This window comes from Homo sapiens, chromosome 1 (genome assembly GCF_000001405.40).
Source record: "Homo sapiens chromosome 1, GRCh38.p14 Primary Assembly".
Taxonomy (NCBI): domain Eukaryota; kingdom Metazoa; phylum Chordata; class Mammalia; order Primates; family Hominidae; genus Homo; species Homo sapiens.
Genome location: NC_000001.11, coordinates 168483500 through 168495852, shown reverse-complemented (window position 1 = coordinate 168495852; position 12353 = coordinate 168483500). Strand labels below are relative to the sequence as shown.

At 39.3% G+C, this 12353-nt stretch overlaps 2 long non-coding RNA genes across 10 annotated transcripts in view; both read left to right on the top strand.

The window, feature by feature from the left end:
- Positions 1-212: 212 nt before the first annotated feature.
- The window catches only part of LOC125312414 (uncharacterized), a 95450-nt gene continuing 83309 nt past the window's right edge, over positions 213-12353 (top strand). For 2 of the 7 annotated variants that reach the window (NR_176084.1, NR_176086.1), the window contains exons 1-4: positions 213-265; positions 1729-1807; positions 10122-10280; positions 10547-10610. This is a non-coding gene — a long non-coding RNA (uncharacterized LOC125312414). Of the gene's footprint in view, positions 266-1709; positions 1808-10121; positions 10281-10546; positions 10611-12353 lie in introns of all 7 variants that reach the window. The other 5 variants (NR_176085.1, NR_176090.1, NR_176087.1 and 2 more) reach the window with 4 other exon arrangements.
- Positions 213-12353, top strand: part of LOC101928565 (uncharacterized) — a 31527-nt gene continuing 19386 nt past the window's right edge. The window contains exons 1-4 of one of the 3 annotated variants that reach the window (NR_125956.2): positions 213-265; positions 1729-1807; positions 10122-10280; positions 10547-10610. This is a non-coding gene — a long non-coding RNA (uncharacterized LOC101928565). Of the gene's footprint in view, positions 266-1665; positions 1808-10121; positions 10281-10546; positions 10611-12353 lie in introns of all 3 variants that reach the window. The other 2 variants (NR_176057.1, NR_176056.1) reach the window with 2 other exon arrangements.

The following is a 12353-nucleotide window of genomic DNA, read 5'->3' as shown; positions in this document are numbered from 1 at the left end:
AAATTGTCACCGACAGAGCATATGGTATTTGGTGTAACATTATGCAGAAGCCAGAGAGAGCTATGAACCATGTTTCTCTTTCCCATGTCCACGGAAATGCCAAAGTACACTGGAGCTATCGAGGATGTTGACTTTTTCCCGTAAATGTTTAACTTCTTCTGGAAACCACAGAAACTTAAGTGATTTAGAGTGTGACTTTCATGAACAGAAATAGTCTCCATAATCTAATCTCCAGAATGCACTAAACCAGGAGAAGATCCACCTGGTAAGTAAAAAGTCTGAATGAAAAAATATGTTGTTGGCCAGGCGCGGTGGCTCACACCTGTAATCCCAGCACTTTGGGAGGCTGAGGCGGGCGGATCACGAGGTCAGGAGATCGAGACCATCCTGGCTAACACGGTGAAACCCTGACTCTACTAAAAATAACCAAAAATTAGCCAGGCGTGGGAGCGGGCACCTGTAGTCCCAGCTACTCAGGAGGCTGAGGCAGGAGAATGGCGTGAACCCAGGAGGCGGAGGTTGCAGTGAGCCAAAATCATGCCACTGCACTCCAGCCTGGGCGACAGAGTGAGACTCTGTCCCAAAAAAAAAAAAAAGAAAAAGAAAAAATATGTTGTTAAAGAAATACAGTTTCACTATTTTCACATACACCTAAAATAATATATGAGGTTGAAAACATGTAATCTATTAGTCCTTAGAGAAATTGCTTTAATAAATAGAGATGATTTGCAATTAGCAAATTGTTATCAGCATAACAAGAGTTTGAGAATATATTTTTCTCTTAAAATATGTCACTATTCCAAATTTTGTTTCCCCTCCTAATTTTTTAAATTATGCAATAAGTTTTAAAAATTTATGACTCCTGCTGAAAAGTCCTGAAATTTATTAATAATGTATGAATGCTACATAAGATTATGAATTTATTTAGAAGATAACAAATTGCGCAAATGTGTAATAACTGCTCTTTTCTCCCCACCAAAAAATGGTTTTCTAATTAGTATAGACCCCTTCATTGAATTAAAAATACAAGTTCTCATTTTTAGCCAAAGACATACTTAAAAATACTTGGAGATACACTTAAATATATTAGTATAATCATCACTACATTTTAAAATCTCTTCTTCTTATTCTTCATATCTACACTGGAAGATAAAAAGCAGGAGTAGGCAAACTAGTTGACTTCATTCCATCGAGACAGGTGGTCAAATGGAGAACATTCCAGACCATTAAATTAGATCTAGGAGAGAAAACCATTAGCATAAAAATTATCTGAAACCACCTACTCTAGTAGTGTTAAAAACAGTTAATAACATGTTTCCTTTAATTATTTAGGATATTTTTGAACTCATCAAAATAATTTAATACCATGGGAATTTCAACACTTACAGCTCCAAAACTAAATTTTCCACAATCACTGGCCAAGGGATTCCTATGACTTTCCTACACTAAATATAGAAATAAAATCTATATTCCCATTTGGCTTATTTTTCAATTTGTCATTTGTAATAAATTTTAAAACCACTCTAAATTCCACTTAATTTTTTATGAGTAGCATTTAGTGCCTGAAAGCATTGTCTTAGATATTTATATAGCTGATCTGACCTATATTCTAGCATAGCTTATCAAGAATATTCTCCCAAACAGCCATCTTGAGTGTTGTTTTAGACTTTTCTGCTTCCACAGGTATCATAATGACAGTTCATTTTCAGGATAATTTCGTTGTCAAAGGAATGGAAGAATATTAAGGAGAACAAGTCCTCATCTCTCCAAAGACCCTTCATCCTTCATTTCACAATAGTCTTTATTGGTAAGCACATAATAGAAATAACTGGGAATTTGAAAGATGAATGAGGATAATAAAAAAAGGTGTGTTTGGAGAGTGAATCTGGAAATCCGTCGGGTTAAATAGAAAAGAGGCATACAAGTATATGGTTCCTCCATTGTGGTGAGTTTGAGGTCTTAAATCATGTGATTTAAGCCCAAAAATAGTGTTGTTATCGTTGTTTGGTTTTTGTTTTTTAAAAGGAGAAAAAGGTAGAGCAAGCCTTCCTTAAAGGGATATCCAGGCACTGAAATGGAAGAGAACAAGTAGCATCAGTCAGTATTCCATGAAGAAAATAGCAAGCACTCTAGGTATTCAAGAAGACGGAATATAATGAAAGGTTTGCATAGTCACTGGACTGACTGGAGGGGCACCATGTGCACTGGTGTTCCACAAATGACTCTCAGGGTACTGAACAGATTCTCTAGGGTGACTGTGACCTTTAGGCCATGGAAATGCTGCATTCAGGAACTCATCCCAATGGCTGCGATTCAGGAATCGGGATGCCAGGCTCTTGAAGCTACCCCAGCAATGGCCCCTCAGACCCTCAAAGCCAGCAAATAGGTCTTGGTGATTCCTGCTGCTGCTTCCTCTGAGCACTCTCTCCGAGAAGGTTGAGCACCAGAATGATGCTGCAGACAAACTTCAAGATACATTGAAGGGGGTGATAATTGATACACACAGACCAGGTTGGAGGCTTTTGCAGTGGTCCATAGGACAGATGATGGCATCTTAGTGTTGGTGATAGAGATATAAATAAGACACAGGTTCTCATCTCTAATGAGATTTTGGAGGCAAAAACTATAGGATTATTTGGGTAGTAAAAATCAAGAACTGCTGCCCTTGCAAATGGCCACTGTGACTCAGAACTGACAACTGAGGTATCTTCTGCACCTAAGAACTCCAAACAAGAACCTGGAAACTTGAGGCCAGTGTGTCTTCCTTCCACATCTGGCAAGCTGGAGAAAATGTGAGGGCAGCTTTATCAAACTCTTAAATGAAAACAATCCATTAAAGTCAAGATACATAGATTCACATCTACTTTTTCTCCTACTCACTCCGGGACATTCTCTGGTCCACTGTCTAAACTAGCCTCCCTTGCCCACGTCTCATCCTCTTCCTAATCCTTACCCCCTCACCCTACCCTATTTCTCTCCTTAACACGTATCACTATCTAGTATTACATATTTGTGTGTTTTTCTCTGTTCTTATTTTCCGCCTCCACTTCTAAAAGGTAAGCTCCATCAGGGTAAGGATTTTCTTTTTCATAAGAAATCCTAGTACCTAGAACAGGTGTAGCGGTAACAGGAGGTCACAACAAGAGAGTCTGTATAAGAGCGGAGAAATAGAGGAGCACTCTTGAACTGAGCACCCAACCAGCGCTCTGCATCAGGCACACACTAGGCCCTGTACAAGCACCATTCCCCCATCCAACAATACCGTAAGCCTGCAAGGTGTTCCTGCCACCCTTAGAAAGATGAGGGAGGTAAGGTGCTCAGCATTACAAAGCTAATAAATGTTCAAGTGAGTTTTCAATTCAGGTTTGGCTGTCTGCAATGTTCATGCCCTTTCCACTAAGCATTATAAACTGTAAAGGGCTACTCAAATATATGAATTACCTATCATTATTATTATTATTATTTCATGCTTAAATTCTACAAAAGCTATTTGAAAGGATAGTTATAAGAATTAAGTAGAGCCTACAAAGCCACTTGATTTAAAGCCTCAATGACTTTCAAAATTGTACCACTAAAGATATTTTTAACAAATGGATACAGGATAGGAGGCCATGTGTAAGGAACTAGCCTTGGAAATGGGAGGCAAATACTAGGGATAGACAAATGTTTCTGAGGTGGCAGAACTGCAAAGTGCTTATCTTTGGGAGATCTGTGCCAGGGAATGTAGGGAACATGCTAGTTAAACTTTTTATACATGCTAAGAGGGAGTACACGATGAAATTTCCTAGTAGCAAGTAACACTAAGTACTCCTCATTGCAAAATGTCAAATCAGTCAACAGAAACTGCAGAGCATTCTTTTCTGTCTATGTAAAGAAGCAGAAAAACAGGCAATAGGAACATAAATCAAACTGTATTGACAGATTAATAGGTCCAATCCAAAAAAGGCCTCTACAGCTTAGGCAAACAGATTCTAGACATTTTTTAAGTTCAAGCAACTGAGGACAAAGTTCCACCAAACTGCTGGGCATTGCTGGAGAGATTAATATACACATCAGAGTAATCATAGGCTTTATAAAAATGACCAGGCAGCCACACCAGAAACTTTCACTCTTGTGAAAAACAAGAGAGGTCCAGAAAGCTGAACTGTAAATAAAGTGTAGAGCTGGAATCAGAGGAAAGCATGACAATACAATGACCCTTCAAACCAAAAAGAAAAGGAAAAACTAAAAGACTATCTTAAAAATTGTTAAAATTATAAACACAGCATAATCTTCAAGTCTGAAAAAACATTACATGGACTGCCCTGAACTCCTGTTTTGCAAATCCCAGTGGTGCTGTGCTGCAGAAAGCATCAATTAAAATGTAAAAATTTAGCAGTCTTTCCTTCCTTCATTCAACAGTTATTAATTGAGCACATGCCATGATCAGGGCACTGTTCTTGGCATAAGGGATATATAGTAAATGAAAACACAAACTCTTACCCTCCCAGAGCTTATATTCTAGTAGGGAGAAACAGATAATAGGAAATAAACCTATAAGAAAATTGTGCATTATGTTCTAAGTTGAAAAGGGATGTGGGCAGTGCGGGGAGCGTTGGGTGTCGAGGGAAGTCGTGATATTAAATAGAGTGGACACTGAAAAGGTGATATTTGAGCAAAAACTTGAAGAAGGTCAGGGTATAGCCACGGAGATATCTGGAGAAAAGATTTCCAGGTACAGTAAAGATTCCAGGTACAGTAAAAAGTCAGATAAAAAGCTTTGAGGTGGGTGTATAACCTTGTGCTTGAGGAATCTACTCCAGGGTGAGGTGGGGAACAGAGTAACATAAAATCAGAGAAGTACCACGAGGGTCGGCGGGAGTGGGGAGGGGAGGTGTGGGGAGATAACTCAGGGCTTTGTATAATAGATGACTGTAAAAACGTTTGCTTTCAGTCAGAAAGGTTTGGCAATAGAGAACCGATGTATTTTAACACATGTGGTCCAGTCTGCATTTATTGGTGGCTAATAGCATTTCTTCAAATAGGTGTTTGCTCTGAAATCTTATACCTTCTGAATTATCTCTCATCTCAGGCATATTAGATTAATTGTAGCAGAGCAAGAAGCAATTGTTTGTTATATTCCATTTCAAATTATTTCACTTCTGGTTAATAATCAAATTTCCCAAATTATATTCATTATTGCTTCAACATTCTACATATGTGATGAGGGGATGTTAATTTATTACTATTGGGACATTTATTCCAGCAATGTCTTGGAACTACAGTAAACTTCCATTAGCTGAATCTTTTGAGAGTATGACCTCTTAGCTAATGGAGCTCTCTGATGAACTGAGAGATGGCCAAAACACTTTTTAAAACTTCTCTGCTATGTAACATGAGCAGAGATATAGACAAATGTTCTGCCAGAATAGAAAGAGGATGAGGACCAGAAAGAGAAAGAAAAGGAGAAAGAGGGACAGGAAAGAATGTTGAGTTGAGGGATATTTTCCATGCTCAAATAAATTTGAGAAGCATGTTTAAATTGCAGAACTTCTTTAACATGCTTCTCTAATACATTAATGGGCACTGTGCATCTCCAGCAAAAAAAGTATTCAACATTTCCTGACCTTATATAGCCAAGAATATTGTTTCCTCAATACCCCTCATATTATAGATTATTGTAGTTTGTAGGGTAAACTGTAAGAAATGCTATTCTATGGTATTTCTTGAAATAGTGGATTTCTCTACGTCCCATTGCCTTCATACATGTTTTATTGCACTGTAATTATATGCTTGCAGGAGGCCTCTCCTATTAAACCCTATTCTGTTTGAGGATTATTATCCATCGCCATTGTATTTTGAAGAACCTGTCAAAGAGGAGGTAATCAATAAATGTTTGCTTGACACACAGCAGGTGTGTTATGAATATTTGTTGAACTAATGAATAAACACTTTGCACATGACAACATATATATATATTAGAGACAGGTTCTTGCTCTGTCACCTAGACCCCAGGCTGAAGTTCAAGGCACAATTCTAGCCCACTGCAGCCTCAAACTCCTGGGCTCGAATGATCTTCCCACCTCAGCCTCCCAAGTAGCTAGTACTACAGGTGTGTGCTACCACACCCAGCCAATTTGATAATTTTTTGTAGATATAAGGTCTCATTATGTTGCCCAGGCTAGTCTCGAACTCTTGGCCTCAAGTGATCCTCCTGCCTCAGCCTCCAAAGTCCTTGGATTACAGGTGTGAGCCACTGCACCCAGCCTATCAAATACATTTCAATGAGGGCCTCCTGTGGGCCCTGGTTTCCTCTTCTGTGAAGGAGAGTGGTTTGTCTAGTAGTCTCTAAGGTTCCTTGAAGCCCTAATCTTCTTGATTCTGTGACTTCGTAGTGGTTCAGGACTATCATGCCAAATAGCTTCATCCTACAGAATTACAAGAGGACTTTTGAAGACTATTGAGGAGGACTAATAATAAGAAGAATTAGTCTTCCACAGTTAAAGAACTTGCCCTAGAAATGTCTCCTCAAAATAAATATGGGATATCAATTTGTTCTTTTGCCCCTTCTTCTCAGAAACCAAACATAGAAGTATTCTAGAGGCTGGGTGTGGTGGCTCACGCCTGTAATCCCAGCACTTTGGGAGGCTGAGGCGGGCGGATCACGAGGTCAGGAGATCGACACCATCCTGGCTAACACGGTGAAACCTCGTCTCTACTAAAAATACAAAAAAAAAAAAAAATTAGCCGGGAGTGGTGGCGGGCACCTGTAGTCCCAGCTACTGAGGAGGCTGAGGCAGGAGAATGGCGTGAACGCGGGAGGCAGAGCTTGTAGGGAGCCGAGATCGCGCCACTGCACTCCAGCCTGGGCGACAGAGCAAGACTCCATCTCAAAAAAAAAAAAAAAAAAAAAAAGAAGTATTCTAGGTTACCAAGGGTTATGCTTTCTTTCATGTTAAGACGTCAGTTTTTGCTGTGAAATGAACTCCATTTTGGTGACAAGGGTCTGGAGGTTTTCTCATAATGATTTTAGGTTTCTATCCTAATAAGAGGGCTGTGGAAATCATTGAGAAGGGTGCCTGATGTTTAATTATTTACAGTGATTTTCTACTAGGAATGATCAACTGAATAGCTTCTCTGGGCTTTTTTTTTAGTAAAATATTTCTCTCCAAGCCACTAGAAGAATTTCATATATTTTGTCAATCTTATCGTTATATCACTTAGTGAGGATTCTTTTTGGTTCTTAAAACAAAACAACAACATAACTTCTGAGGATGAAAAAAATGCCCATCCAATTTAATCCCAATTGTGCAATAGATATAATTTGCAAAAGAGAAAATAATAGTATGAATATTTTGTATCCAGGCAACACACCCCCAAGAGGTCTCATGATTTATAAGATTTCCTATTACTGCCTTCAATAGAACATCTCCTCTAAAGTAGCCAGGGTACTTGATGAACATCCTCTTCCTTACTCATATCCCCTAAGGAAAGAAATGGGTTGAACACATCATTGCCCTAATTTCACAAAGGTAGAGAAAGTAGCAGAAGGAAAGTGACTTTTTCGAGGTTACCCAAGGTTCCACTGTGTTAGTGGTTTGGAAGGAAAGAGAGGTCTGGCTTCCAGCCAGCCTGGACATCTGTGCTCTCCAATTCATCATTGTATTCAAACTACAAGAGAACAAGCAATTTAATATTTGGTGTCACCAATGCATTAGCCCTACAAGAGCTGGTACAGCAGCATTAATATGCAAACAGCTAAATATAAAGTATATTTTCTTACCAAGCAGAGTGCTTCCAACCCCTTAGGAAAACCTGAATCTACTGTACATAAAAAGTGAATAAAATAGCAAAGTATAGCAGGTTAATCATTAATATATTTTCATTAAAATATGAGGGAGAAAATGTAGCTATATTCCACTCTTAGGAATAACCCTTAGAGTTTAGGAAGATGCAAGAAGAGAACAAATGTTTCTATAGACATTGTGCTAGTACAGTTTATCCAAAAACTCTCTCTCCACAAGGATTTAAGGTTCTAGGGCAAATGCCAGATATATGACTGAAAGGTGATCCCAGAATACCTCAGCAATTAACCCTGCATTATTTTCTTCTCTCTTATACTGAAAGCATTATTAGAAATCAAGCATGTAGCTCTCTCTGGAAGTCAGGGAGCTAGAGAGTAGAAATGAGTACTGTGGTATACTAAAATTCGTTGAAACCATGAGCATCTAGAGACCATTCCCTATATACAGAGAGGACTGAAGTCCAGCGCTCTGTTTTCCCCAGTATTCTCTGTAGACTTTGTTGCCTCCATTCTGCACAATGTAAGAAACCATTAGGAGAAAACCTCCCCTTGAACTGTCTGGAATAGGTCCTCTTTGTTCTTATTACCCAGGTATTAAAAGTAGAAGAAGAGAAACTGAGAGTATCCACCTAGATAAGAGCAAAGTGGGATAATCTTAGTATTATTCTTTTTTTTTTTTCTTCTTTTACTACACTTTAAGTTCTGGAATACATGTGCAGAATGTGCAGCTTTGTTACATAGGTATACACGTGCCATGGTGGTTTGCTGCATCTATCAACCCATCATCTAGGTTTTAAGCCCCGCATGCATTAGGTATTTCTCCTAATGTTCTCCCTCCCCTAGCTCCCCACCCCCTAACAGGCCCTGGTGTGTGATGTTCCCCACCCTGTGTTCATGTGTTCTCATTGTTCAACTCCCACTTACGAGTGAGAATATGTGGTGTTTGGTTTTCTGTTCCTGTGTTAGTTTGCTGAGAATGATGGTTTCCAGCTTCATCCATGTCCCTGCAAAGGACATGAACTCATTCTTTTTTATGGCTGCATACTATTCCATGGTGTATATGTGCCACATTTTCCTTATCCTGTCTATCATTGATGGGCATTTGGGTTGGTTCCAAGTCTTTACTATTGTAAATAGTGCTGCAATACACACACATGTGCATGTGCCTTTATAGTAGAATAATTTATAGTCTTTTGGGTATAAACCCAGTAATGGGATTGCTGGGTCAAATGGAATTTCTGGTTCTAGACCGTTGAGGAATTGCCACACTGTCTTCCACAATGGTTAAGCTAATTTACACTCCCACCAACTGTGTAAAAGTGTTCTTATTTATCCACATCCTCTCCAGCATCTGTTGTTTCCTGACTTTTTAATGATCCCCATTCTAACTGGCTTGAGATGATATCTCACTGTGGTTTTGATTTGCATTTCTCTAATGACCAGTGATGATGAGCTTTTCTTCATATGTTTTTTGGCCACATAAATGTCTTTTTTTGAGAAGTGTCTGTTCATATCTTTGCCCACTTTTGGATAGGGTTGTTTTTTTCTTGTAAATTTGTTTAAGTTCCTTGCAGATCCTGGATCTTAGCCCTTTGTCAGATGGATAGATTGCAAAAATTTTCTCCCATTCTGCAGGTTGCCTGTTCACTCTAATGACAGTTTGTTTTGCTGTGCAAAAGCTCTATGGTTGAATTAGATCCCATTTGTCAATTTTGGCTTTTGCTGTAATTGCTTTTGGCCTTTTAGTCATGAAGTCTTTGCCCACGCCTATGTCCTGAATGGTATGGCATAGGTTTCCTTCTAGGGTTTTTATGGCGTTTTACATTTAAGTCTTTAACCTATCGTGAGTTAATTTTTGTATAAGGTGTAAGGAAGGGGTCCAATTTCTGCTTTCTGCATGTGGCTAGCCAGTTTTCCCAGTACCATTTATTAAACAGGGAATCCTTTCCCCATTGATTGTTTTTGTCAGGTTTGTCGAAGATCAGATGGTTGTAGATGTGTGGTTTTATTTCTGAGGCCACAGTTCTGTTCCATTGGTCTATATCTCTGTTTTGGTACCAGTATCATGCTGTTTTGGTTACTCTTGCCTTGTAGTATAGTTTGAAATCAGGTAGCTTGATGACTCCAGCTTTCTTTTTTATTTATTTATTTTTTTTGGATAAGGATTGTCTTGGCTATAAGGGCTCTCTTTTTGGTTCCATATGAAATTTAAAGTAGTTTTTTTCTAATTCTGTGAAGAAAAGATAGGGTTTTTGTGTGGGCATCATTTTTGTTGATGTTGGTGTTATTGCTTTTGTTTCTTAGTTTTTCTTCTAACAGTCAGGCCCTTCTTCTTCAGGTCTGCTGGAGTTTGCTGGAGGTCCACTCCAGACCCTGTTTGCCTGGGTATCACCGGCAGAGGCTGCAGAGCAGCAAAGATTGCTGCCTGCTCCTTCCTCTGGAAGCTTCATCCCAAAGGGGCACCCGCCTGATGCCAGCCAGAGCTCTCCTGTACGAGGTATCTCCCAATCAGGAGGCATGGGGATCAGAGATCCACTTTAGGAGGCAGTCTGTCCCTTAGCAGAGCTTGAATGCTGTGCTGGGAGATCCACTGCTCTCTTCAGAGCCAGCAGACAGGAACTTTCAAGTCTGCTGAAGCTGTGCCCACAGCTCCCCCCCACGCCGCCCCCCACCACCCCCACCCCACCAACCCAGGTACACTGTCCCAGGGAGATGGGAGTTTTATCTACAAGGCCCTGACTGGGGCTGCTGCCTTTCTTTCAGAGATGCCCTGCCCAGTGAGGAGGAATCTAGAGAAGCAGTCTGGCCATAGCTTTGCTGCACTGCGGTGAGTTCCACCCAGTACAAACTTCCTGGCAGCTTCCTTAACACTGGGAGGGGAAAACCGCCTACTCAAGCCTCAGTAATCTTTTGTATTATTCTTAAGAACAATTTAAAAAACTACTACTCATATTTGTTTAGTGCTTTTCCGTTTATACAACATTTTCCATCCATTTTCTTGTTTGGTACTTACAACAATCCTGTGAGATAAGTAAGATGAGTATTCTTTTCTAACTTTTAATTAAGAAAAATTTCCAACCGATAGAAAAGTAGATAGAATGGTGTTATTCATCTCCTGAAACTTACAATATGAACAAATCACTATTCATCTGTCTTTTTTAAAAACTGAAGTATCTTAGTAAATTGCAAGCAACATGTCATTTTCCCTTATTATACCTAAAAAATTAATAATTATCTAATATCATCTCGTCTATAATTCATAATCAAATATCCACCAACAGTAACATGAATGTTACTTTCTCATTTTACAGATGTTACCTTTTTGACATAACCAAGTAAACCAACAGGCTTGAAGACACACCGATCATAAAAATGAATCTAAGAACCCAGGTGTAATCTTCTGATTTCTAGGTCCCAGCGCTTCTCATTTTTAAGCAGAGTTTCATAGAAATACTCTATTCAAACAAACAAACAAAAAAAACAGAAAAGCCACAGACCTCTGTAACATTTAAGCAGAGGTGTCCTCTTAGTAAAATGTAAAATACATGTGTGAAATCTGTTTCCAACAAGCTCTTATGTTATTTTTAGTGGCCCTTCTCATCACCTGTGGTGTTTTGTTTTGCCCTCCCTCAACCCATTTCTATTGCCCCCATCCATACTTTAGCCAACACCATTCTCTGATATGCTGGGTTGCCTGAGTGCCTCACCATGTCTACCTAGCCCATGTGTCTCTCTGTCCCCATCCACAGGGGTAACACCATCTTGCAGAGAGCAAACACTCTAAGAAGGCCTGATGGACTCATCTGCCTGAAAGTGGTCATAATGACTGGCACCATAACCCATTCTGAGTGTCCATGGAGTAATATAGAGATGATAGTAGTTTGCCTCATGGAATCTTAAGAAATAACATTGTTATCATGATTCTTGCAGCATTATGAGTATTGGCAAGGTGTCCCTGCAATAGGTTAAAGGTGTGCACTCAATTTATGCAATCCCTCCCCACCCACCCAGAAATTTTCTCTTCCATTTAAATTTTTTACAATCCTCTTTAAGTTTCAACCCCTCCTCTCATGACAACTATTACACACATATTCAAGTGAACCTAGCTGCCGCTCTTGCTTCACTTCTAGTATAGAAATGTTTACATTTTCTTCCACGAGGTTCTTGGCATCTTTTGACAGTACCTGCCAATGACCACTGAACATTTTTCAGATGGATGTGGGTATGCTCCAAATCATGACATCAAAGGTATTTCTTGGATCTACTGAATGATTTAGCCTAAGTGAATCAGACAAATATGGAAATTATGTAAATCTTATGTGTCACCCAGGGGAAAGAATGTGAAACATTTTAAGGCAAAAACAAGTTCTGGTTATTATCAGGCAACCTTGGAAATGTGAGATGACAAAACAATGTAATGTTGCCCAACTCTGGAGAACAAGGAAGGAGAAAAATTAATCAGAACAGATCTCACTTCTCATTCCAGACTCAAGCTGCTTAGACAGGAATCCAAATTAGTGTGCCCCCACTCCAGCTCCAAATAAAGCACTTTACACAAAAATAATTAAAA